Source organism: Homo sapiens, chromosome 7 (assembly GCF_000001405.40).
Source record: "Homo sapiens chromosome 7, GRCh38.p14 Primary Assembly".
Lineage (NCBI taxonomy): Eukaryota > Metazoa > Chordata > Mammalia > Primates > Hominidae > Homo > Homo sapiens.
The window spans coordinates 154,233,021-154,260,271 of NC_000007.14; the positions used below are offsets into that span (position 1 = coordinate 154,233,021).

At 41.3% G+C, this 27,251-nt stretch overlaps 1 protein-coding gene and 1 long non-coding RNA gene across 11 annotated transcripts in view; one reads left to right on the forward strand and one right to left on the reverse strand.

Annotated features, from left to right (window-relative positions):
• DPP6 (dipeptidyl peptidase like 6) overlaps positions 1 to 27,251 on the forward strand; it is a 1,146,153-nt gene that overhangs the window by 484,888 nt on the left and 634,014 nt on the right. The gene's annotated exons all lie outside the window — the stretch shown is intronic.
• On the reverse strand, positions 4,181 to 8,949 carry LOC105375582 (uncharacterized). Its single transcript, XR_001745001.3, has 3 exons — positions 8,879 to 8,949; positions 4,588 to 4,666; positions 4,181 to 4,267 (listed from the first exon to the last, which is right to left on the reverse strand). It is a non-coding gene; the product is annotated as an uncharacterized LOC105375582 (long non-coding RNA).

The window sequence follows — 27,251 nt, forward strand, 5'->3', positions numbered from 1 at the left end:
TGTGTTTTGAAGAAAGAATCATGCTTAAAATTATTTCACTTAGAAGCTCACAAATGAAACTGTTGACTCTAAGGAATAAACTGTGTAGATAGTAAGTCTTACCAGCTGTGAATTAGAGTAGTTTGTGAGAGTCGAATTCAGACATTTTCTTTTTTGAGAAAAGCTGGAATAGAAAGGGAAGCACTTCTGCCAAGGTTAACAGTAGGATGTCTTTATAAATTCGATGTAGCTGTGAGGGAAGGGACTTCTGCAAGCTTTCGTGCATTTGCTCATTCAATAATAATCTGTTCATCAGTGCAGTGACACAAAATATTTACAGAACACAGCATCAGTGGCTAAGGAGCTTATAAGCAAATGAAATGTTAGGTGTGTTATGTGTGGGTTAAATGGTGCCCACCCGAAATTCATATGTTGAAGTCCTAACCCCCGGTGACTGTATTTGACTAGGGGTCTTTACCAAGGTAATCAAGTTAAAATGAGGTCATTAGGGTGGGTCCAATCTAATATGACTGGTGTCCTTATGAAAAGAGGAAATTTGGACACAGACACCCACAGGGAGAATGCCATGTGAGATGGAGGCAGAGATCATGGTGCTGTTCCGACAAGCCAAGGGGCACCAGAGATTACCAGCAAACCCACCAAAAACTTGGAGAAGGGCATAGGACAGATTCTCTTACACAGCCTCAGAAGAAACCAACCCTGATGACACCTTGATCTCAGACGTCTTGTCTCCAGAACCATGAGATGATAACTTTTCTGTTGTTTAAGCCACCTGATCTGTAGGACTTTGTTACAGCAGCCCTAGTAAACAAATACTTTAGAAAAAGTAAAAAGAGAAGCGAAGCAAAACTTGCATGCACAACAGGTATGATGATGCTCATGACTACAGACAGTGAGAAAGGCTGTGGGTTGGATTACTCTGGCTCAGCCTCATAGAAAAATTGAGGTGAATGTTTAATTGAGTGTGGGGTTGGTCTGAAGAGAAAGAATAGAAAAGGAGAATCATATTTCATACCCTTACTATTCAGTCAGCTATGGAAAGCATATTTGGGGTGGCTAGAAGATGCCAAGTACAGTGCTAGGTGATGAAGCAGTGAATTAAGTTAGGACAATGTGGCCCATGTAGCCTCTCAACAGGAAGGCAGGTTCAGATAGAGGAAACAGCAGGAAAAAGGTGACAACTTGAAAATGAGTCTCTTCCTCATTCAGGTAGCTTTGGTGCTTTGCCCACTGGTTGTATAAGAGAATCCTGGGAAACAGCCTATGAGTAGTATTTGATATCTTGGGATGTGGGAGGTAATCAGATTTCAGTGATGATAAGACACTCCCATCTCTGAGCTGGGTGTTTCCCAGAAAATTCCAAGGACAACTGGCCTTTAACATCTCTCTCTATGGTTAACTTGCTAAACATTATCCAGAAATAGCCAGCACCAACATCTCCTTCAGGACCCCAACAGCCAGGCATTTTCTCCGTAGACTTTGCTCCAAGCCTCTTATTTCTGGGTTTGGATCCTACCTTTGGACTTGAGGGGCTTAGATATTATCACTTAGGTGGACAAACCATCCAGTTAAACACACACACCCACACATACCCAACACACACACAGACACACACATACACAGAATCAACACTCAACACGCAAACACCCAACACACACATGCACACACACTTTCTGAAGATGAGTTTTCTCATTTATGAAATGAGCTCATCTGGACTTGCCATGAGGGTCCAACAGGTGCCATGCAATCAGGTGTGCACTCAGTATGGGCTGGGTGGAGATGGCCATCTCCTTTCCCGTCCAGGCCTGGTTCCTGTGTGCTGGGCCTCTGCTCTTCCCACCTCACACAGCCCCTGCATGGAACAGAGCCGGCCCTGGGAGGCCTGGGATCCCCGTGCCTCCCTTCAGCCCCTCTTCCAAAATCTTGATACCGGACACACAAAGGACACAGCAGATGGCCATTGTATGATGGGTTTTGTTCTGTTTTGTTTTGGTGACAGCTTTATTGAGATGTAGTTTTTACCATACAATTTACCCATTTAAAGCATACAATTAAACGTTGTTTAGCCTATGCACAGAATTGTGTAATCATCACCACAATCGATTTTAGGACATTTTTATCACCCCCGAAGGAAACTGTGCCCCTTAGCAGTCACTCTGCATCCTCTGTCCCCAACCCCTGGCACCCAGGCATCTGTGATCACTCTGTGGATGCACCTGTTCTGGTCAGCTCATCCACATGGTATCATATCGTGTGTGTTTTCTTCATCTGACTTCTTCCCTGAGCGTCATGTTTTCAAGGCTCATCCAGGTGGTAGCCTGTGACAGTGCTTCATGCCTTTCTATTGTCAAATAACGACACAGTGTTTTACAACCCCTTTCCACATAGGTTAGTATCACCAGTGTGCTTGGATGAATTGCAGTTTGCCCAGTTTGCTGTTCCAAAAGCTAGAGAATTCCTTTTTTTCTTTTTTCCTCTTACTATACAAACCAACTCTAAGTGATAATTAAAAGCGTGAGCTTTGAATTTAATCAGCACTTTGTTCCTTTCTATTGTCAAATAACTACACAGTGTTTTAAAGCCCCTTTCCACATAGGTTAGTATCACCAGTGTGCTTGGATGGATTGCGATTTGCCCAGTTTGCTGTTCCAAAAGCTAGAATCCCTGTTTTTCTTTTTTTCCCCTTACTGCACAAACCAACTCGAAGTGATAATTAAAAGTGTGAGCTTTGAATTTAATCTGCCTAGATTCAAAATTTGCCATGCCATTTCTTAGGTGTATTACCTGGGCAACTACTAACACCTTGTTACCTCAGTTTTCTTATCTTTATTTTATTTATTTATTTATTTTGAGACAAAGTCTCACCCTGTTGCCCAGGCTGGAGTGCGGTGGTGCAATCTTGGCTCACTACAGCCTCTGTCTCCCGGGTTTAAGAGATTCTCTTGCCTCAGTCTCCCAGCTATCTGGGATTATGTGCGTGCGCCACTACTCCCGGCTAATTTTTGTATTTGTAATAAAGATGGGGTTTCACCATGTTGGCCAGGCTGGTCTGGAATTCCTGACGTCAGGTGATCTGCCTGCCTTGGCCTCCCAAAGTGCTGGGATTACAGATGTGAGCCACTGTGTCCAGCCAGTTTTATTATCTTTAAAATGAGATTAATAATAATACCAAACCTAATAGGAATGTTGTTAAATTTAATAATTTGGTAAGCCATTAAATCACATGAAACTATACCTGGTACATTTTAAACACCCTTAAAAGCTAAATATTATATATCATATTCTGCTTTTTAATATAAATAGGTCACACAATATATCAGCATGCCTATAGAGGCATTTCATCCTTAATGTTACTTAACACTTCAATTTATTACGAACCTAAATGGCCAGAAAGCTCAGGTAAACAATTTCCCCTATAATTTTACGCAACAAAAATTGGGATTTATACCAATGATCTCAAAGTAGTTTAAATTCTTAGGATAATTTCTTAGCCCCTGATGAAAGATTCTCTTCATTCTTTTGAATGATCAGTGTAATTGTACTTCTAGGGAAGATATAGCCGTTTATTTCTCACTAAACCATGACCTGTGCATGGGTGAGGCAGCCCACAGTGAGCCTGAATGTTTGGCCAATCCATTCCTTATGTGGACTCATGGAAAGCCTCAGCCTATAATCAGATTTAAAGAAATCTGTAGCCATATGTGTTTCCCTGACGTCGGTATTGCTGGGCCATATTAAATTGCTTTACATCCCTAATAACTTTGCTTTCTATTGTTCTCTATTCTGCTGCACTTACACAAAAGCTCCATGGCAGAGAAATTGGAAAGACCAGTAAAAAAATAAGGAAACAGGATATTGTGTGTCCTGGAGGGTTTCCCCGGTGCTCCCCAGCCTCCATTGCACAACCTCCCTCCACACAGCCCCGCCCCATCACAATTTCCAACCCCTTTACTCACCCCCTGTGTCTCATCCACTTTCCTCTCTGTCAAAACCCACACTTAGACATTCTCAGAGTCCTTCCCATTGAGGTCCAAACAACTAGTGATGGTTTAAAATCTTACGACTGGGCGTGAGGGAAGGCCCATACCTTGAGATAAAGCTAATTTGAAGCTGATGGCAGGATTTCCAACAGCAGCCAGAGGAGGGGCAGAGTTTAGGGGCAGTGTTTTGTCCTATAGTCCTTAAACCTGCCTTGGATGTGGCTGGTTCTGACATCTTGAATAATCCCTTAGTATCTTGTTTACAGGTGATGACACAAACAAGTTATCTGGAAATAAAATGAAGGGGGAATGAACCAAACCACTTTAAGGTAGCTACTTTTAACAGTTTTAGGGGGTCAGTTCAAAAGTCTTTATAACTAAATTCTGAAATACAGAGTGCCCTGTTTTCACCTTCAGGGGTCTGACACCCAGTGTTAGGTTTACAGTGTGCTGTGGGCCATTCATCTGGGCCCCAATGAGCTTAGAAAACAACTAAGTGAACAGCAGATCCTCAGCCAGGTGCCTGGCCCCCTGTTGACCTCACCTGGGGTCTCATTCACTGTCCCACCTTCCCTGGACCAGGCTTCCCCCTCCACTGTCCACTTACCAAAGAGTCACACCATTTCATCTAGAAACCCTCATCTCCTTCTTCTTTTTTTCTCTTTTCCTTCTCCTCCTTCCAGCTCCTAAAATAGAAATTAATGTAGTCCTGGCCCAGCAGATGCTTCAGGGATCTGCATTCTGTTCCTAAATGCTCAGATACTCACTAAAGACAAATAGAAGTGTTGGGTCCACAGTGGATGATCCCTCAGTACATCTTGAAATAATACCTTGTTAAAGAAAGAAGGTCATATCCCTGCTGAGGGGAGCCCTGGGAGCGTGTAAGTCCATCTCTGGGCAGGGAAGCTGACCAGAGATGCAGCTGTTGACATGCAGAGAGAATGAGATGTCTGAGGACACCCTCTGCCAGCTCGTGTCTGAGAGAGGATCCCAGGGACGTGCTGGTACTGAGTTTCCCCTCTAAGCAGAAGGGAACACTTCAGATTCCAGGAGGACATCGAAGATGTCTAACGGATCCTTTTCCTCACCAAAGAGATGTGTTATTTGGTATTTTTAATAACACCATCTGCCAGTGAGAGGAAAGCTCCGAATTGCAATATTGATCTTGTCACTTTGGGGAACAGTTTGATATTTGGGATTATAAATAACATTTTCATTTGCTCTGTTATCATGCTCAGGCAGTGTTTGATGGCTGAGCCCAAGAATATTATTTTCTTATCAAATATAAAGATACGTACTTTTCCTGAGGTCTGAACTCTGGGTTGTGAAATAATATTGACACATATTAAAGAGTAAGATGTATTCTGAAACCTTAACAATTCAGAAGGGGTGTAAAATTTTTCTCCTTAAAAATGAAATCGAGGACAATATGAGGTGATAATAGCAATAACTGGCTAGCGTGGATTAAGAGGTTAAGTCAGAGTCGGATTAGACTGTCTGATTTAAGTAACACGATAGCCTAACAAGGAAGCACAGCAGCACTATTGTTCCCATGATTCAGACCAGCAAACCAAGATAGCCACTGCCACGGGGCTAGGAAGTAGCAGAGCTGGGATTTGAACTCAAGCACACTGGTTCCAGAGTCCACGCTGTGAATCATTATACTCTGTCTTTATTTGCACCTACATGGGAATGGATTCTCTTATTATTATGCTATAGATACCTTCAATATTTCTTTCTACATTTAAAACTATTCTCTCTTGATCCTCATGAAAATTATTTGAGATACACAGGACAAATACTACTATCCCAGTTTTACAAGTTAAAAACCCAAGGCCCAGAGACATTAAACGATTTTCCTCAATGCCATATTGGAAGTTAACAACAGATCGGGCTTCAAATATAAATCACCTCACTCAAATACATGTATCTCTTTGATTTGAGCAACACAAAATTATTACCATTATTGTCATTATTGAAAGAAACAGTTGATCCATTTGAAAGATAAGCTACACTGTTTGTGCTTCTGGGTGGCTGGGATGGTAAAGGAAATGCATGTGGAGGCGTAGCCAGCATTTTGCTAGCAAGCTCCACAAGAATGTTTTACCTAAGTTCTTAGGGGAAGGGGAAAATGGTCAGGGCCAATTCTTTCATGGTACCGAGCTTCAGACACTTTCTGTCCACCATTTGTACTCCCTCTGATTTCCCGTATGGAATTGAGGTCTTGCATTTTCAAGAAAAATGGCAAAACAACTCCAAAAACATGTCTTTCTAGTGTCGTAGCTCTTAGTAGCTTCCTTATACAGTTGACCCTTGAACAACACGGGTTTGAACGGAGCAGTTCCACTTATATGTGGATTTTCTTCTGCCTCTGCCACCCCTGAAACAGCAAGACCAGCCCTTCCTCTTCCTCCTCCTCATCCTACTCAACATGAAGATGAGGAGGATAAAGATCTTTATGGTGACCCACTTCCACTTAATGAATAATATTTTCTCTTCCTTAGGATTTTTTAATAACATTTCTTTCCTCTAGCAGTCACTTTATTGTAAGATCACTTTATTGTAAGATCACAGTATACATACACAGAAAATGTGTGTTCATCGACTGTTTATATCATTGGTAAGGCTTCCTGTCAGCAGTAGGCTATTACTAGTTATGTTGTGGTGAATCAAAAGTTACACAAGGGCTGGGCTGGGCTCAATGGCTCATGCCTGTAATCCCAACAGTTTGGGAGGCCAAGGCAGGTGGATCACTTGAAGTCAGGAGTTTGAGACCAGCCTGGCCAACATGGTAAAATCCTGTCTCTACTAAAACTACAAAAAAAAAAAAAAAAGAAAAAGAAAAGCCAGGCATGGTGTTTCACACCTGTAATCCTAGCTACTGAGGTGGCTGAGGCAGGAGAATCACTTGAACCCAGGAGGCGGAGGTTGCAGTAAGCCAAGATCGTGCCACTGCACTCCAGCCTGGGAGACAGAGTAAGATGCTGTCTTTAAAAAAAAAAAAAAAAAAAAAAAAAAAAAAAAAAAAAAAAAAAAAAGTGATACAAGGATTTTCAGCTGCTCGGAGGTTCAAGGTTCAATACCTTAAACTTTTGCATTGTTCAAGAACTAATTGTCTATGAATTTTGTAAAATTGTTCAGAGTTGTAATTATTATCTTTGTTGTAGGTTTTAAGGAAAAGGATCAACTCTTCGTTATTTTCATCTCTGTATTTAGCTAAGTTTATGTCCAATGGGGTAATTCTAACCATATTTTAAGATACTGCCAGCGTAGATTGTCTCTGTTACCACCGGATGCCTCTGGAGAATGCTGCATGCATCAAAATCAAGCAGTAAGGATGAAAAAATCTGCTCTTTCCTGAACTGACCAGCCTTCCCTGACTGTGCACACTGATTTTATCTCAATACAGTCCACAGGCTTTTGTCTTTCTATGAGCTTTTCCTTCTATAATAAGAATAGGAATAGAAAATGACCACTAAGTTCTCCATCTTCCATCCCATGCCTCAGCCAAGGCAAGAAAGAGTGAAATAACTGCTAAGCTATTATAAATAACTATCTCCTGTAAAATCATGAACATAGAGTGTATGTCAGAGATGTTGGAATCCTGCATCCTTAATGTTTAATGGTGTTTCCTACAAATGTTCCCTGAGTATTCCCAGTTTGGTGATATAGTCCAAGCTGCAGAGGGAAAGGATGTAACCTGATATTCATATTCAGTTTTCCACCTGATTTCTTTGGGGATTCACCTCATTTCCTCAAGTCCTGCTAATGTGTACGGTGGTAATTCCAGCATTCTCTCCTCGGAATATCAACAATGACAGTTTCTTAATTGCTCTCAGTGGATTTTATGTAGGATAGACAGTGAGGTTTGACCACTTGATTCATTTGAAATGAGCAATACTTCCACCTTGACATGATATCATATACTTGGTATTTTCATGATTTATTGGTGGCCTGGACCAATATACTTTGGGTCAAAAGGTGTGATTTAAGGAATTCAACCTAAGAATAGTAGGCCAGCTCATTCTCAGTCATTATGTGATTTGTTGGAATATTGTGAAGTTCCGTTGATAAATAAATTGATGAAAACCTTTTTTCTTACCATGTAACCACATACTGCTTTGCACCAATGATTGGGCACAAATATAAACATATTGCTGCACAGTAGGTAATTCAATATCAATATGTGTGTGTGTGTGTGTGTGTGTGTGTGTGTGTGTATATATATATAGAGAGAGAGAGAGACACTTTTATCCATTTAGGAAGACAAACATATTCATAACTATGTTTTCCATTAAAGTATGTTTTCCATTAAAATGTACTAAATAGGAGAGTACCTTCCTGTGTTTCCCTGTTTTATCCAAATTCTCAGTGTTTTTAAAGATCCCATTCTGGCAGGTCATGGTGACTCACACCTGGCGTGGAGGTGAGCACCTGTAGTCCTGGCTATTTGGGAGGCGGAGGCAGGAGAATCGCTTGAACCCAGGAGAAGGAGGTTGCAGTGAGTTGTGGTCACTCCACTGCACTGCAGCCTGAGTAACAAAGTGAGACCCTGTCTCAAAACAAAACAAAAAAAAGATCCAATTCCATCCCCATCTACTCCAAAATGCCTCCCTATTTATTCTTATATTGATTAATGTATTCTTCCTCAAAATTATATTACTTTCTGACTCAATATCATACAAACCGGCACTTATCACATCTTGAAATTTCCCGAAGCTAACACGTGTCTAACCTGTTTCCCATATTATGTTTTAAGTTTAAAAAGATTGTCTGCCGACCGAAAAAGTTTATGTCAAAACTACAGAAAAGAGCCATTTCTTCCATTTCTCTAAAACATAGCCCTGTGTCATCTCTGCTTTTCCACCCACCCCTACCCCAACACTCATCCTACTTACCTTCCTCTGGCATTCACAGAGGGCTGAGTTTCTAGTAGATGTTAATCAAATTCTTTGCATGTGATTGCTCAGTCTCTTTTAACTTGAAAAGGGGAAGGCAGTGTAATAGAACACAGGAAGGAGCTGTTCATAGGTTCAGAAGTCACTCTTGGATTTTCAATATTTGTGTTTCATTCCTTAGAAAGTGCTGTCAGTTCCCTCTTTGAGGAGCTCTCTGAAACAACAAAGGGACCTGTCATTTGTGCATACCCCCGACTGGCACCTTTGAAATGTTATCCAGTCTTGCTACCTACCATTTCTGATTTGTCTGACGTTGACATGTACACACCCTGGAGCAGGTCTGTTGACTTCACTCAGGCTTATGGAATATTGCATACATCCACCGTACTCCATAAATAACTAATAGTGTGAAGCAGAGATCAGATCAACTGACAGACTTTGTAGAATGTAATCTCTGGTAACACTGACTTTAAGAGGCAATGAGTGTGTGTGTGTGTGTGTATGTGTGTGAGTATATATATATTCCCATAGGCTAGCAAATGAAAACTGACAGTGAACTTTTCCTCTAGCTCTGATAGAGTGACTGGCATTGGGCATTTCCTCCTGGCATAAACAACTCTAAAGCTGGTAAAATGTGCATGACAAATGTTTTAAGGCATTAAACAACAGGCAGCACAGAACTGTAATTCTTGAGAGAAAGGAAACATGAGAGGTGAGGCTCAGTTTGCCCCAGTGCTCTGCCTGGGACCGTTTCCTGCACATCTCCAGCAGAACTGTGGCCTCACTGACCTGAGGAGGAGATTGGAGCTGTGGTCTCAGAAGCAGCTGAGATTTGGGGAGCCAAGTGCAAGAGCAGAAGCTGAGGACAAGGGTTTCCAGAAGTCTTGATGAAGACTCATTGCTGGTTTTTGGCTGAAGGCTGCCCACACCATGGCAGGCAGTACACAGGGCCTAGCAGTGGTTGCCTTCTGCAGGGCTGGGAATGAATGAAGGCATTATTGCTATGCACCACCAGGAGATGCTGGAGCTCCAGCTCAGCCAGAATGGAGAGAACTCATTGAGCATCTCAGTCAGGCATTCAGTTGAAACCTCAGAAAGTCCACACCATAGCAGTAAAAGCTATACCCTCAAATAAGGGCCACACCTTAGCCCATAACTAGAATAAGTTCATGTCCATGAAAGGAAAGACATGAAGCCTGGTATGACCAAAAAGATCAGTTGGTAATTTCCCTGCTGCCAAAACAAAACTCAGAGCACTTCTAATTTAAAAAGAGATTATCTAGAATCATGAAAACATTTTGTCTATAGTATCCAGAATAAAATTTTTTTAAAAAATTGCTAGAGTTTCAAAGAAACATGAATATAAGACCCATGATCAAGGAAAACAACAGTCAATAGAAACAAGCCCTGAGATTAAATGCCTTTGATGTTGAAATTTTCAGACAAGGATTTTAAGGCAGTTATAAATATAGCCAAGGAATTAAAGGAAAACATGGTCATAATGAGTAAACAGAGGGAAAGTTGCAGTAGAGAAATTATAACTGTAAAAAATAAAATTTTAGAACTGAAAATATGTAGTAGATGGGTATAATAATAGTTAAGAATGGCAGAAGAGGCCGGGGCACAGTGGCTCGTGCCTGTAATCCCAGCACTTTGGGAGGCCAAGGTGGGCAGATCACGAGGTCAGGAGATTGAGACCATCCTGGCTAACACACTGAAACCCCGTCTCTACTAAAAGTACAAAAAATTAGCCGGGCATGGTGGCGGGTGCCTGTAGTCCCAGCTACTCAGGAGGCTGAGGCAGGAGAATGATGTGAACCCAGGAGGCCAGAGCTTGCAGTGAGCCGAGATCACGCCACTGCACTCCAGCCTGGGCGACAGTGCAAGACTCCATCTCAAAAAAAAAAGAAAAGAGTGGCAGAAGAAATGCTAGCCAAACTGCAGGCAGATCAAGAGAATTATTTGACCTGAAAAGCAGAGATTAAAAAAAAAATCAAACAAACCGTATCTCAGTGAACTAGCAGGACAGCATCCATGTGGTCAAAATACATGTAAGTTGCGTCTCAACAGGACAGAGGAGAGAAAAAAATTGTAAAATAATAAAACTTTTCTAATATTTAGTGAAAAAAATTAAAATGCTTATTTTAAAATTTCAAGAAACCCCACTGGTATAAAAACAAAGAGAACCACTCCTATGCCCCAAGATAACCAAATTACTGAAAATCTAACCCAAAGAGAAAACTGTCAAAGCAGTTAGAGAGAAAAGACACGTTATATACAAGGAAACAGTTCTAATTAATAGTGGATTTCTTGTAAGAAGATGCAGAATAATATTTTAGAGTGCCAAAAGAAGAAAAAAATACAAATCTATTGACCCTAAATTTTATATAAAGCAAAAATATCCTCTACTGTGGGTAAAATAAAGACATTTTCAGATAAGTGAAAAACAATAAAATTAAGAGTCAGCAGACCTATACTGCAAGACATATTCAAAAGAAGCTTTCAGAGGAAAGAAAATGAAACCAGAAAATGATAATTACAGTATGACATGAAGGATACCAAAAATAGTAAATATGCTAATAATTAGAAAATCTATGTGTGTTTGTTTCTTAATTTTCTTGAAGACACCTGACTGTAAAATGTATGACAATAACAACATAGAGGATACAAGTAACTGGAATTAAACTGTTATAAATGTTTTAAGTTTATGTAAATTGATATAATATTGACTGTATATAAACTATGAGTAGGTAAGGATGCACATTGTAATCCCTAGAGTAACAAATTAAAAAATAATGCAAAGAGGTATATCTAAAAACCTAATAAGGGAATTGAAAATGGAAGGATAAAATTCTTTGATTATCCCCAGAGAAATTAGAACAAGAGGAATAGAGAAATAGAGATTAAATAGGATACACAGAAATATATGAGTATAGGAAACTTAAAACTAAACTTTTCAATAATTTCACTAGATGCAAATTAATTAAACATCCCCAGTGAATAATCAGTTTTAGATTTAAAAATTGAAGACATAACTGTATATCTAAAGGGACTTTTTTTTTTTTTTTTTGAGTTAGGGTCTTGCTCTATCACCCAGGCTGGAGTACAATGGCACAATCTTGGCTCACCACAACCTCTGCCTCCCAGGTTCAAGTGATTCTCCTGCCTCAGCCTCCCGAGTAGCTGGGCTTACAGGCATGCACCACCATGCCCAGCTAATTTTTGTATTTTTTTGGTAGAGATGGGGTTTCAACATGTTGGCCAGGCTGGTCTTGAACTCCTGACCTCAAGTGATCCTCCCGCCTCGGCCTCCCAAATTGCTGAGATTACAGGTGTGAGCCACTGCACCAGGCCTACAAGGGACTCACTTTAAATACAGAGACACAGATAGGTTGAAAAGGAAAGAATAGTAAAAGATAAACCATAAAACAGTAAGCATAAAAAAGCTATGGCTGGCCAGGCATGGTGGCTCAGGTCTGCAATCCCAGCACTTTTGGAGGCCGAGGTGGGTGGATCACCTGAGGTCAGGAGTTTGAGACAAGCCTGGCCAACATGGTGAAACCCTGTCTCTACTAAAAATACAAAAATTAGCCAGGCATGGTGGCGGGTGGCCTATAATCCCAGCTACTTGGGAGGCTGAGGCAGGAGAATTGTTTGAACCTGGGAGGTGGAGGTTGCAGTGAGCTGAGATTGTGCCACTGCACTCCAGGCCTGGGCAACAAGAGTAAGACTGTCTCAAAAAAAAAAAAAAAAAGCTATGGCTATGTTAATATCAGAAAATGTAGACTTCGAGATAAGGAATGCTGTTAGAGGAAAAGAGAGATATCTGATAATAATAAAATGGTTAACTTATTAGAAAGATATAAACATCTATGTATATAGTAGCTGAGCTTTGAAATACCTGAAGTAAAAAACTGACAGAACTCAATAAATTCGCAGATATTTGGATATTCTAACATTCTCACTCAGTAACTGTTAGAACAATTAGGCATAATTTCAGTAAGTATATAGAATAAAGAACATAGTCATTGTGACTTAATTGACATTTACAGATTACTCCAATAATTGCAGAATATATATTTTTAAAGTGCAAGTAGAACTCACATTATGTTGACACATAATATAACAAGTATTAAATCTTAAAGATTATGTCCTTTAACCACAAGAAAATTAAATTAGAAATCCAAAACAATAAGATATTTAGAAAAAGCATAACATGTTTAGAAAATAAGCAGTACTCTCCTAACTCATGGGTCAAAGAAAGTACAGGGGTAAGTTAATACATATTTTAAGCTAAACTGTAATAAAAGAACAATATGTCAAGGCTTTCTGGATACAGCTAAAGTAGTGCTTGTTGAGAAATTAAAGCTTTCATTGTTTAAATAGGGAAAAAAAGGATAAAATCAATTATTTAAATTTTTTCTTCAAGAAGTTGGAAAAAGAAATACAAAACCTCTAGAAAGTAGAGAAGAAAATGTGAAAGAAAAAATAAAATAGAAAACTGACAAATAATGGTGACAACTTACATAAATGAAGAGATTCGATATTATCAAGATATCAGTTCTCCAGCAATTGATTTATGGGATTAATACAAGGTCAACGAAAATTCCAACAAGGTGGTAGAAATTGACAAGCAGATTCTAAAATTTGCATAGGAATTAAGTGATCCTAGAATAGCTGAAACAGTCTTGAAAAAAAGAACAAATTTCAATAACTTCCACAACCTATTTTCAAGATTTACTATGAAGTTACAGCAATAAAGTGTGGCATTAGCATAAGAAAAGACAAATAATCAACGGAACTCATTTCTGAAGAGTCCAGAATTAGACATACACATATACAACCATTGATTTTTGATAAAGTAGGAAGGCCTAGATGAAATTATGGGGAAAAATGAACTTTAACCTCTACCTCACAATAATTAATTTTAGATGGATCATATATCTAAATATAAAAGCTAAAACTAGGAAGCATGTGGAAGAAAATAATGGAAAATGTTACAACTTTTGTGCTGGTAAAGACTTCTCAAGTAGAACCGAAAAAGTTCCTACCATAAAAAAATTGATCAATTGGACTTTATCAAGATAAAAATTTCTGCTCATCAAAAGACATTGCTAAAATGAATCATCAAGGGCCAGGTGCAGTGGCTCACGCCTGTAATCCCAGCATTTTGGGGGGCCGAGGTCAGCGGATCATTTGAGGTCAGGAGTTTGAGACCAGCCTGGCCAACATGGTGATACCCCATCTCTACTAAAAATACAAAGATGAGCCAGGAGTGGTGGTGTGTGCCTGTAGTTTCAGCTACATGGGAGGCTGAGGCAGGAGAATCCCTTAAACCTGGGAGGTGGAGGTTGCAGTGAGCCAAGATTGCAGTACTGCACTCCAGCCTGGGCGACAGAGTGAGACTCAGTCTCAAAAAAGAAAAAGAATCGTCAAGTAACATATTAGAAAAATTATATTCAATTCCATTTGTGTGACAAAGGACTTGTATCTACAATATATAAATATTCCTACAAATCAATAATTTATAATGGACAAAAGACTTGAACAGGCACTTTACCAAAGAAGATATCTAAATGGTCAATAAGCACATGAAATGGTGCCTAAAATTATTACTCACCAGGAAATGCCAGCTAAAACCATACTGAGGGAACATTTTAAAACCCACTGGAATGGTTATAATCAAAAAGGTTGACAGCACCAAATATTGGCAGGGATGTAAAACAACACAAACGCTCATACATTCTTGGTGGGAGAGAGCTCTACAACAAGTACAACTACTTGGATAATTGTTTGAAAGTTTCTTCTAAAGCCCAGTATATAGTGCCCGACTGCAGTCTACTGCACTCTTAGGTATTTACCCAACAGCAATGAAAACATGTCCATGAAAAGACTTGTACAGGAAAGTTTATAGCAGCCCTACTCATAATACCTTCAAACTAGAAAGAAGCCAGGTATCTTTCAACCAGATAATAAATAATTGTGATCTATTCATACAGTGAACTGTTATTGTGTTAGTCGGTTTGGGCTGCTATATAACAAAGTGCCATAGACTGGGTGGCTTATAAACAAAAGAAATGTATTTCTCACCATTTCGTAGGCTGGAAGTTCGAGACCAGGGTGTCAGCATGGTTGGGTTCTGATGAGGGCCCTCTACCAGGTTGTAGGCTGCCTTCTCACGGTGTTCTCACATGGCAGAAAGAGGGCAAGAGAGCTCTCTGGGGCCCCTTTGTAAGTGCACTCATCCCATTCACAAAGGCTCCCCCTCCTTGATCTAACAGCTTTCAAAGACCCCACCTCCAAATACCATCACAATGGGGGTTAGGACTTTAACCTAGGAATTTTGATGGGGCACAAACTTTCAGACCATTAAAGTGAACAAGAAAGAAGGCTGCGCTTCTAATACATGTCACAGCAGGGATGAGTCTTAGACGTGAATTTCACACCTGGCATGAAGGAAGCCAGGCAAAAAGGACGTGCTCTGTAATTCAGTATGTAAGAAGCCCCAGAGCAGGGAGAGAAGTCAGAACAGTGATTATTATGGGAGGGTGGGGGTGGAATTGACTTGTCAGGGGAAATCACATACATTGGGAAATGAGAAAATGTCTTCTGTCTTAATTGGAATATATACATTTGAGGGTATGCACCAAATGATCATGTATGTTTGTCAAAAGTCATTGAATTAGGCTGGGCGCCGTGGCTCACACCTGTAATCCCAGCACTTTGGGAGGCCGAGGCAGGTGGATCACTTGACATCAGGAGTCTGAGAGCAATCTGGCCAAGATGGGGAAATCCCATCTCTACTAAAAATACAAAAGCTAGCCGGATGTGGTGGTGTGCACCTGTAATTCCAGCTACTCAGGAGGCTGCAGCAGGAGAATCGTTTGAACCCAGGAGACGGAGGTTGCAGTGAGCCGAGATTGCGCCACTGCACTCCAGCCTCAGCAACAGAGGGAGACTCCGTCTCAGGAAAAAAAAAAAAGAAAAGGCATTGAACTGTACATTTAAAATCTGTGCATTTCAATGTATATAAATTTTACTTCAAGGAAAGAAAAAGGGGACATGTCTTGGCATGTGCCTCCTTTCTTAAGCCTATTAATTATAAAACTGGGTTACCCAGATCCTAGAATATGGCTATGAATAGGGTAGCTGTAAGAGCCATAGATAAGAATCTGGGGACTTACGGGTGTTGAAAACTCACGGTGGGGCTGACAATGATTATAATCTGCTTTTTTGTTACCATTTCAGATTATGACAAAGCACTGGTGTTCATCAGGAAACTAATGGGAGTAAAGGGTAAATAGCTTAGTCAAAAATGCAGCTCTCTCTTTCAACATATTAGCAGGAGGCCATTTTCTGGTTTTGTGCGTCAAGCACAAAGACAAGCATCCTATTTGTTTTTAGAAATCACATCTAACTTTCTTTAGGAAAGGAACTTTAATTTTATAGCGAATGAAAAATATCAATTAACCTATTAATTAACCCGGAGAAACTATTAGCCTGGGAGATAATAAAATTGCTTTTGAAAAGATTACCTGACAACTGCACAAATAATTACTCTTGCAAACATCCGGTGTTCTGCCTTTCTCTCTAAGATACTTGAGAGAGTTTAAATATCAAAGAATCCTGATTATTTCATGAGTATTTTCTTCAGCTGTTATAAAAATCATGCTTCAGTGTTTCAGGGATTTTGTTTTGTGCTTGTCTTGGCAGTGGGGAGGAGGGGAGCTTTTGTGTGATTCCAGGTAAAAGTATGCTACTCACAGCCTTTTGTAGGTCATGGCTTCTTGAGAATGTGTACAATGCCACGGAGCCTGTCCCCAGATGCATTTCCATGTGACTATACACATATGCACACAATCTTGCATATGATTTCAGAAGCTTGGTGGGCTGCTAGAATTTTGTCTCAGATCCTCTAGAGTCTAGATGATGGAGGCTGGATGTAAGGGAGGAGACCACCCTTCATACTGTCTTATGCCCAATTTCTGCCTCCAAAGAAAGAAGAAGTAAAAACTAAAAGGCAGAAATGAAATCCACAGGCAGACAGCCTGGTACCACACCCGGGGCCTGGTAGTTAAAAATCAACCCCTGACCTAATCGGTTATGTTATCTATAGATTACAGACATTGTGAAAATGCACTGTGAAAATCCCTGTCCTGTTCTGTTCCGTTCTAATTACCGGTGCATGCAGCCCCCAGTCACATACCCCCTGCTTGCTCAATTGATCACGACCCTCTCAAGCGGACTCCCTTAGAGTTGTGAGCCCTTAAAAGGGACAGGAATTGCTCACTCGGGAGCTTGGTTTTTGAGACGTGAGTCTTGCTGATGCTCCCAGCCGAATAAAGCCCTTCCTTCTTCAACTCGGTGTCTGAGGGGTTTTGTCTGTGGCTCGTCCTGCTACAGATGGGCAGCCTTGGTTCTCATTTTTCATGCCATCTCCTCTAATGGAAACAGGAATGATCTCCCCATGTCAACACCTGCAGTGTGGGCCTGCATTTGGGAGGGCGTGTGGGTGCGTGCGCTGGGGCTGGCTACTGGTGTGCATTGCCCAGAGAGTTTATCTCAGAAGTCTTTGACAAAGGCACGGTTGGCTTCATTTTCTGTCTGTGAATTCAAGTAGGAGACAAATGGATTTCCTTACTTTTTCTGATCCTGTGTAGGAACTGTAGAAAAATGGGTGTTTCTCCCTAGTTAGAAAGAAATGCTTTTCCCAAAGATGAATTCAGACAGCTTTATTTAATGGAAAAAAATGTCTTGCCTGTTTCTAAATGCATTCTTCCCTGGTGGCTTATACCTGGCAAAGAGAAAAATTAGTCTCTTGACTGAATGAAGTCCCCGTCAAGACGAAGGAAAAGAGAGAAGTGAGAAAAGAGGCTAGAAGAGCCAGGATTGAAGGCATCGTGCTGGGGGTGGGGTGCGTGCTGAGGGTAATCGTTGCCTGGAGGCACATAGGCTAGTCCATCAGATCCAAAATTCCAAAGCTTGGCTGTGTAAAGAACAACATCTAGGAGTATTGAGAAGCAATGTGGGCAGTGCTGAGATTCAAAAGGGGCGTCCCTAGTCCCAAAGACGAGCCCCACCCAAGTGAATGGACTTCCCGAAATTATGGTACCTGTCTGAGCCTCAGTTTCTCCATTTGTGGATGGGAATAATCACACAAAGTATTTTGCAGAGCAAATGAGAAAATGTTTATAAGAGTCTGGCTGACTGCGGGAATGCTGTTATTTTTGAGTTTCTCTTCCCTTAACGATCAAGAATAATTAGAGACTTATAGCAGCCTGGGAGAAAGTTATCAAAGAAAGGTGTACTGTATCTGCCCAAATTAACATTAGGATGTTTCACGGGAGCTACTTATTTCAGAGGAAGAGCTACAGATGGTTTGGAAGATGATGAGCTTTGGTGAATGCTATGCTCTGAGAATGATGGAAAAACAGATATGGGAGAAACTAGCAAAGCCGTGAAGCCATTAAGGAACTGACCACCTAAAAGACAGAGTCAACAAGGCTGTGCAGGTCTCCTAGGGAGATAAGATGGCATATTAGTCAGGGTTCTCTAGAGGGACAGAACTAATAGGATATATGCATATATAAAAGGGAGTTAATTAAGGAGAACTGACTCACACCATCACAAGATAAAGTCCCACGGTGGGCCATCTGCAAGTTGAGGAGCAAGGAAGCCAGTAGTGGCTCAGTTCGAGTCCCAAAACCTCAAAAGTAGGGAAACCGACAGTGCAGCCTTCAGTCTGTGGCCGAAGGCCCAAGAGCCACTGGTGTAAGTCTAAGAGTTCAAAAGCCAAAGAACTTGGAGTCTGATGTTTGAGGACAGGAAGCATCCAGCATGGGAGAAAGATGAAGGCCGGAAGTCTCAGCAAGTCGGCTTCTCCCACCTTCTCCTGCCTGCCTTACTGCCATGCTGGCAGTTGATTACATCCAATGGTGCCCACCCACATTGAGGGTGGGTCTACCTCTCCCAGTCCACTGACTCAAATGTTAATCTCCTTTGGCAGCACCCTCACAGACACACCAGAAACAATACTTTGCATCCTTCATTCCAGTCAAGCTGACAGTTAATATTAATCATTTACAGATGGAAATAGTGTGGTTCAAATAAGAACAAGAGCACCTTGTGAAATAACATATGTAGAAGCCAAGGCTTGCAATGTACAGTCTAGCAGTGGCCTTTCATGGTAGAGAGACTCATTCTTGCATAAAAATGAAGATATTCAATTAACACATCCTATTGGTTGTATTCTATAACAGGGTGAGCACATTTATTTACTTCAGCTAAATTGAAAATCATGGCCTCACAATGTCACGTGTGTGTGTGTGTGTGTGTGTGCGCGCATGCGCACGGTGGTGGTGGTTGTGATGAAATGGAGGAAGAATATTTGAGATAAAGCTAATCTTTGATAAAATTCCTCCTGTTCAGTGGTGAACCAGGATTGGAGACAGAGACCAGGGGAGCTGCCTTCCCAGGCAAGGAGGGCATTTGGTCACTCACCTTGTTTAGAACTGCTGGCTATGATACGAACACAAAGCAGACTGACCCTTAGTCAGATCTATTATTGTTTTAAATTCTCTATAGATAATGTACTGTCTTATTTCTCACCCCTGGGCAGACTGATCCCACCACCAACCCTGTTCTACCTCCACCCCACACTGCCTCTGGGAATAGCATATGAACAAATGTCATTGTTAATTCCTGATCAGTTGTGGCTGTGTTATCAAAGCAGGAGAATCATTAGGATGTATGGATTATGGCAGCTTAAAAAAACAAAAACTACATGAGAGACTTAGATTTATGCTTGCAGAATGTCCAAATGAGTTGGAAAAGTAAGACTAACAAATCTAGAATAAAAGTGAATTGTCTTTGCCAATTTCACTGCCCCATGGGCAGAGTCAACAGCAACTACTGTCAAAATTGTTCTTGAGATCCATCTGTCCCTAGACATAACTATAAAAACCTTAACTCATGGGAAGAGTCTACGTGGCAGCTCCTTTGAAAGCTTTCCTTGCTGTTTAAGAGAAGTCTAGTCTGCCAGAATAAAAATAAAAATTTAAAAATCTCTACTAAGACAAATTAGAAGATAATGCAAGGAATATTGGGTAAACATGGAAAGAAGGGCTGCCTGTAATAAGCAGTAAAATAATCTTAAACATTCTGTGCAGAGTAAACGCATGTATATACAATTAATTCCAAGGCCAAAGGGAGTGAGTGACATAGAGCGATCACATCATTGTCTGAGGAACCATTCTCTGCCAAGAAAAAAGGCAACAGTCTCATATTCTTCTCTAGATTAGTTGACTGTGAAAAGAAAAGAGGGCAACAAGTCAGCTTCCCTTAGAGAGGTTGTTGGTGAGTGGGACATGTGTTAATGAGACACTTCACACCTTCCCTGGTAGGTACCTGGAGCAGGCTGAAATAAGCAAAAGTGAATGCAGGTGATACAGGTGTGGGGGGTGAGGGGACAGTCTTCCCTACCTGCAGGGGAAAGCCTGTCAAGAAAGCCCTTGCAGCAAGAAGGTACTCAAATTAAATAATGCTTGATACATACTACCTACACACTAACCTTATGGATTAGTATTTTTAAAAGTCTCACCTTTGCATCCTGTTTGTGAGTTAGAAATGACTTGACTAGACGTGATTTCACATATCACGATTTTTAAAAATATTTGCAATTTTCTAAGAATATGTATATGACTAAACTTATATGGTATAAACCATACTGGTAAACATGATGATGATGATGAAGATAATGATGATTGATGATGACAATGATGATAATGATAATGTGCTCTCTAGAAAAAGGAACAATATTCCAGATATTTTAACATACTGCTACTGAATTAGTCCATTCTCACACTGTGATAACTACCTGAGACTGGATAATTTATGAAGAAAAGAGGTTTAATTGAGTCACAGATCCACAGGCTTAACAGGAAGCATGGCCAGGGGGCCTTAGGAAACACAATTATGGTGGGAGGTAAAGGGGAAGCAACTGTGTCTTCACATGGTGGCAGGTGAGAGGGAGAGCGAGAGAGAGCAAGCGCAAAGCAGGAGGTGCTGCAAACTTTAAAGCAACCAGGTCTCATGAAAACTCACTATCACAAGAACGGCAAGAAGGAAGTCTGTCTTGATGATTCAGTCACCTCCCGCCGGGCCCCTCTTCTAACGCATAGGGATTACAATTTGATGAAATTTGGGTGGGGACACACAGCCAAACTGTATCAACCACATTTATTTATCACAGCAGCTATTATTATCCCTGTTCTATATAGATGAAGAAATGGGGGTTTAACAAATTGCCCAAGATGATAGAGCTTTGCCCAATCTATCCATGTACCATCAAGGCCATAGCTTTGCCCTTATTTTGCTTGAAGTTGAAAATTTCTTTTATATTGTTGTTTGATTTTGTTGTATTACAAAGCCAAATCTAAAGAATTTCACTGTAATAATATGCATAGTAGGTGTAATTAGAGGTAGGCTTACTTTGTTTATTTATAGATTTAGTTTGCAATTTAAAATCCATGAAGTGATAGCATGTGTCATAGCCCATCATGAATTTCGAATGAAAACACTGTGGCTGTACTGAGCTTCTGAGAAAAATCCAAGCGGGTAAGCAGGAGTTCTGAGATGGAGATGCACAATCTTAATTACATTAGCTGCCTCCTTGGGCTATTTTGTGTATGTAGTGGGGTGGGCAGTGGGCTTGGTTCTTAATGTAATGAGTGATTTCACCAAGGAGGGAGACAGGGCTTGACTTGATGTGTATGGGTAGTAAGTGGATTACTAGAAGACTTAAGAACAGGGAGGTTAGAGGAAATTGTCACATTTTCACTGGGTTAGGAATTTTAAAACAAAAATACGAGCTTCAATGAGAGAAGGAACATACATGGCCTATTTTAATGATCATGAGAGCAAGAGACTGTCTGAAGTAAGGTTCAATTGCAAGATTCAAAGGTAGGACAATGAGCATGTTGAAAGCTAAGGAGAGGAATAAGTGTAGGAGGAATACATTATTAGGGAAAAGGAAACGCAAATTGTATTTCCTTTGCAATTTGCAAAGGAAAATTTGCAAATTTTCCTTTTGCAAAACTAAAGAGAATTGCAAAACGAAAGAAAAGGAGAGTGATGAAGAGAACCACATGGGCAAAAAAATAAAGATGTAGACAATTCTGGATGATGTTAACAAATGAATAAAGGCATGTGCCAGCAGTTTGCTTAGGGCAGCTAGTCTATTCAGACAGAGAGTTACAGGGTCCGTCCGAGGGGTGGAGGCACAGGCGGCTGTGGTGGAGGGGTGCTGGGGCTGAGGTCCAGTGAGCTGCCTGCCTCTGTGTCAAGAAAGAAGAACTGAAGGTCACATTCTGGAAACAGAAATCCACTTTCCTAGGGGCAGTGTGAAATGTTAAAAGGTTTTATGTTATGCCAGAGAGGATAGTTAGACAATTAGAGTTATCTGAAGGTTGACAAGGCAGCAGGCTTAGATGAATTACACTCCAGCAGTGTGGAGAGGAAGCGCCAGTGAAATGTGAAATTTGGAGAGGCTGAGCCACTCCCAGCACTGGGGGAAAGGAGGTGGCTCTTTGAATTCTGCGGTGCGGGAATGGCAGAGCACACCTGGAAGCCAGGAGGGAGCAGGTGTTACCCTTGAACCAGGCAGACGTGGGGGAGGCCCAGGCGTCTCATCTCTCCCCTCCTCCTGCCCTGTGGGAAGAGCATAGTCCCCCTCTGCCTTTTTCTTTCCTTTTGTCTTCAGTCCGCCCTCCCTGACTAGTACATGGTCGGTCAATCCTGTCATAGAACAGAAACTAGATGTTTCCAGAATTTTTATGCCACAGCGCTTGAATGTTCTATTGTTTCACAATGCTTTGACACTTAGAAGACAATACTACATAGTAGACACTTAAAATAATAGGAAAAATTGTCTGTCAAATAAATGACTTAGAAGACCTGGTTACTATGTCCAATAAATACTTGGTGTTTTATTTTACTCACCCCTCTTAACTTCTCCTTGTTTCAACACCTATAAAATAAGAAGAGTAATATCTGCGCTCTTTACCAGTTTTCCTGAAGACCACATGAGATAAATATGTGAAAACACACTATGAAAAGCACAAAATGCTTTATAACCTATAGCATTATTTTTGTAAGAATGAAGCAAAACTGTAATTGTGTCTGAAATCTAAGAATGGATAGAGGGAAGATATATTCCACTGTAGACTCGAACATGATTTGATTAAAGTCTGACTATAAGAGGAGAAACCACTTCCTGATGAATTATGAGACCCAATTTAAGGAATAAATTATTGGATTGGCTTTTAAAAAAGTCCAGTAGTGGCCGTAATTTATCTTGATTAGTGGAAAGGTTTCATAAACTACAGTGTGCAAAATATTGATCCATTTAGTAAGTACACCATGCAGGGGCCCCTGCAGAAGGCAGGCACCTCCAGCTCTGCAGAGGGCAGCACAGTGGCCCACTGCCTTTTATCACAGCTGTGGAACCAAATGGAAACTGGACGCCGTCACGGAAAACGATCAGTCTGCATGACGGGCGCATGGAAAGGAAGCCTGACATTTGAAAACACGTTTCTTCCAAATATCTTTAAAGATTTCTGAACCAGAGCTCACCCACCTATCTGTAGCCTCCAAATTATGAACAGAATCATGACAGAATTTGGGTTTGTTTCCCAGTGGCTCTGCCTTCTTTTGTTCTTAAATATTTTTTCCAAACTCTCAGATCATAACCAAATAACAAAGGAAGCAGCTGTGATGCTCCTACACTGTGGTAAGTCCCCTTTGAGAATCGTCATTGTGGAAAGGAGAGAAACTTAGATTCTTGATTCTCAGTAGGTCGTTCTTGATGAACACTTGCTAACCCCAAGGCATTCATTTACTGGAGCAAGGTTTTGTGCATTTCAGATGTCAGCCTGAGATTCTGGTAAGATGTTAGGAAGTGCTCCAGCTGGGAATTGCCACCATAGTTCCTTCTCAGCCTCACTTTAGAGAGGTCAAGTGCATCTAGAAAATGCCAGGCTTTAGAGTGACAGCATGAAATACCCCCTTGGGTTCTTTTTTCTTTTTCTTTTTCTTCTTCTTCTTTTTTTTTTTTTTTGGAGACAGTGTGTCACTCTGTTGCCTGGGTTGGAAAGCAGTGGTGTGATCATAGCTCACTGCAGCCTCAATCTCCTGGACTCAAACGATCCTCCCACCTCAGCCTCCTGAGTAGCATGTGCCACTATGCCCAGTTAATTTTTAAAAACATTTTTTTGTAGAGATGAGTTCTTGCTATGTTGCCCAGGCTGGTCTCGTGCTCCTGCCCAAAAGGGATCTTCCTGCTTGGGTTCTTTAGCAGAATTCCAGAGGCTATTCCTACCTGTTGTAATGAAACTTCTCGATTTGCTCTCCTCTCCAACCACACCCTCCCCATCAGCATCTTCTCATCTGCCCTCTGGGGATGTGGATTCCCTTCGGCCTATGAAGGCAGGTCTCCCATTTAGGATATTCAAAAGCGGTCTGGTGCGGGTGGCTCATACCTGTAATCCCAGCACTTTGGGAGGCTGAGGCAGGTGGATCACCTGAGGTCAGGAGTTCAAGACCAGCCTGGCTAACATGGCAAAACTCCATCTCTACTAAAAAATACAAAAAAATTAGTGGTTGTGGTGGCATGTACCTGTAATCCCAGCTACTTGGTAGGCTGAGGCAGAAGAATTTTCTGAACCTGGGAGGCAGAGATTGCAGTGAGCCAAGATGGCGCCACTGCACTCCAGCCTGGGCAACAAGAGTGAAAACTCCATTTCAAAAATAAACAAATAAATAAATAATAAACAGAATATGCAAATTCAACTCCAAACCCAAATGAGGAAGGCCATCAAATAAGATAGAAGGTAATGGTTCCCACTATTTGAGTAAGACAGCCACATGGGGACAAATGGCTTGTGCAATTTAGTGGAGTAAATGGCACGGCCACATGACCTTGTTTGGCTTCTGTTGGTTAGCAGAGATCCTTGGCATCAGCCAGATCCATTTGTTTTCTTGAATCTTAGCTTTTCCTCTCCTTTGTCCCCAAATATCAAAGGGCAAACCACTTGACATCATTTCTAGCTGTCATTTCCCAATGCAGTAGTTTTAAAGCCTGAAAAGCCAAAGGCACCACTAGAAATTACATATATTGTGGGGCAACACGTGGAACTTAAAGAAAGTGAGCATGAGGAGGAGAGGAGAGATGAGGCGAGGCGAGGGGAGGGGAGGCGAGGGGAGGGGAGGGGAGGAGAGGATGAATTGCTGCCAGGTGCTGCCCCACTTTTCATACCTATCCAAGTGACTCTTCCAGATTCTAAGTACATTCAGATTGTGTTTTAGTGAAATGCAGTAAAACAAACAGATGTTAAATTGCTTTCATACATATCTTGTTTTATCCCCATAACAATTCAGTTTCTGGCTTTATCATACCTGTTTGAGAGATGAAAAAACAAGACTCAGTGAGATTTATGCTCCCCACCAAAAATCACAGCAAATTCACCACAGAACCTGAACAGTAACTGAGATCCCGTGGAAGGAGAGCAGACCAGGGAGGCTGACGTTGTTATAGGAGTGTGTGCATTTTACCTATTAGTTCAAGGGGTTTTGTTGGTGTTTTATCATGCTCCACAACCAATAGCAAAAGCAACAAATAAATGGTATAGGACAGTGCAAAGGAATAGGATCATACCCAAGTGCGTTTTAACAAAATAAGTAAACAATCAGTAAAATGTATCTGGGAGTGCTGGCTCCCTCAGGGCCCCTGGAACAGGGGTGCATAGTTAAGAAATATACAGAGTTCTGCTCTAAGAAAACGTGTATTCCTTAAAAACCACCACATTATACAAAATCACACCAATAAAAACACAACAGTAATGAGAGAAATGGGGTTATGGACACAACATTTAAATATGTTGTCAGTGAAAAATAAAAGGAACATAGTAAAAATCGGTAGCATAGTTTCACACAAGTTATATGGTTAAGAAATACATTGAAACTACAAGATATATGGCACTTCACCTTGAAAAAAGCCCCAGAGTTCACTCGGAGGAGTAAGAGCTGAAAAGGCTATAGTTGTGAGTGTTTGGGAAGAGGTAGAAGCAAAGGTGTTGAAATCGGACGGAAGTAACACCAGACATGGATGCGTGTGGCCTGTCACACGCGGAGAACCCAGGCAGTGGCAGCTTGATGGTGTGCAGCCATGTGTTTTATGAATTTCTACAGACTCAATTCCTGGGCTGCAAGCAGTTTTTCTGCATTCACTTAGTGCTTCTCCCAGACCAAATCACACATATGCGAACAGGAAATTAACCTGATGCTCAAATTGTTCTCTAATCTATCAATTACATTGAAACAAAGTCACATTTTCAAAGCAAGCATTTTAACAGAAGTGACTGCACCTAGGTCCTCCCTCTACGGAGCTTACAGTCTCCTTCAGAATAAAATATGGACAAATAGGAAATACTGGATTCGTAAGTGCCAAACTAATATGCAGGTGTTTTGGAAAGGGAGGGGCCGCTGGGGCAGTCAAAGAAGTTTGTTGCAAGAGGCAATTCCGGAAGAAATGACCTAAGCAAAGTCAGAGAAGTGGAGGTAATTGTGATGGGAGAAAAGAGAGGAAGAGGTAGAGGACAGAGAGGACAGCTGCTCAGGGGTGAATGAGAAACAGGTTTGAGCAGAAGCTGGGCTGGCTGTGATAAATACTGAGGAATGTCACTGGAATGTCACTGCAAAGGAGGTGTTTTTTAATGTTTGGGTGTAAATCAAGTCTGTAGCACAGACTGAGGGAATGAATATTTTACAGAATTGCTGTCATCGTTCTGTATCTTACAGCCCATTCTGTTCATTTCTCATTCAATAATATTTATTGAGTTTCTGTTGTATGCCAAACGCGTTCACAACTGTGGATTCAGCTGTGAACACAACGGGTGAAGCATCTACCGTAAGGAGTGGACATCCTAGCAGAGCAGGCACGTGGCTGCTGGTTAAGGAGACGGGCACCCAGTGAGCTCAAAAAGCAGCCAGGGCTGCGGCATGAGGCAGAATCAGGAGTCAGGGAAGGATGAGCCGTGGAGGAAGATGGCTGTCTCAGAGAGGGTGGCCAGAGAGGTCCTCTCTAGAGAATTGACATGTGAATCCCGAGGTGCCCAAAAGGAGTGGGAGCAGGTCTCAAAAAGTTGGTCCCAGGCAGGGGAAGCAATGGATGGAAAAATCTGACATGTGGAGAGGCAGCCACAAGTCTGTGGGGTGGGAGCGGTAGGAGAGGATGTGGGCTGGAGTCCATGGGTAGGAGTTGGGGCTTTATCCTCAGTTCCGTGGAAAGCTGCCAGGTCATGTTGAGCAGGAGTGTGTT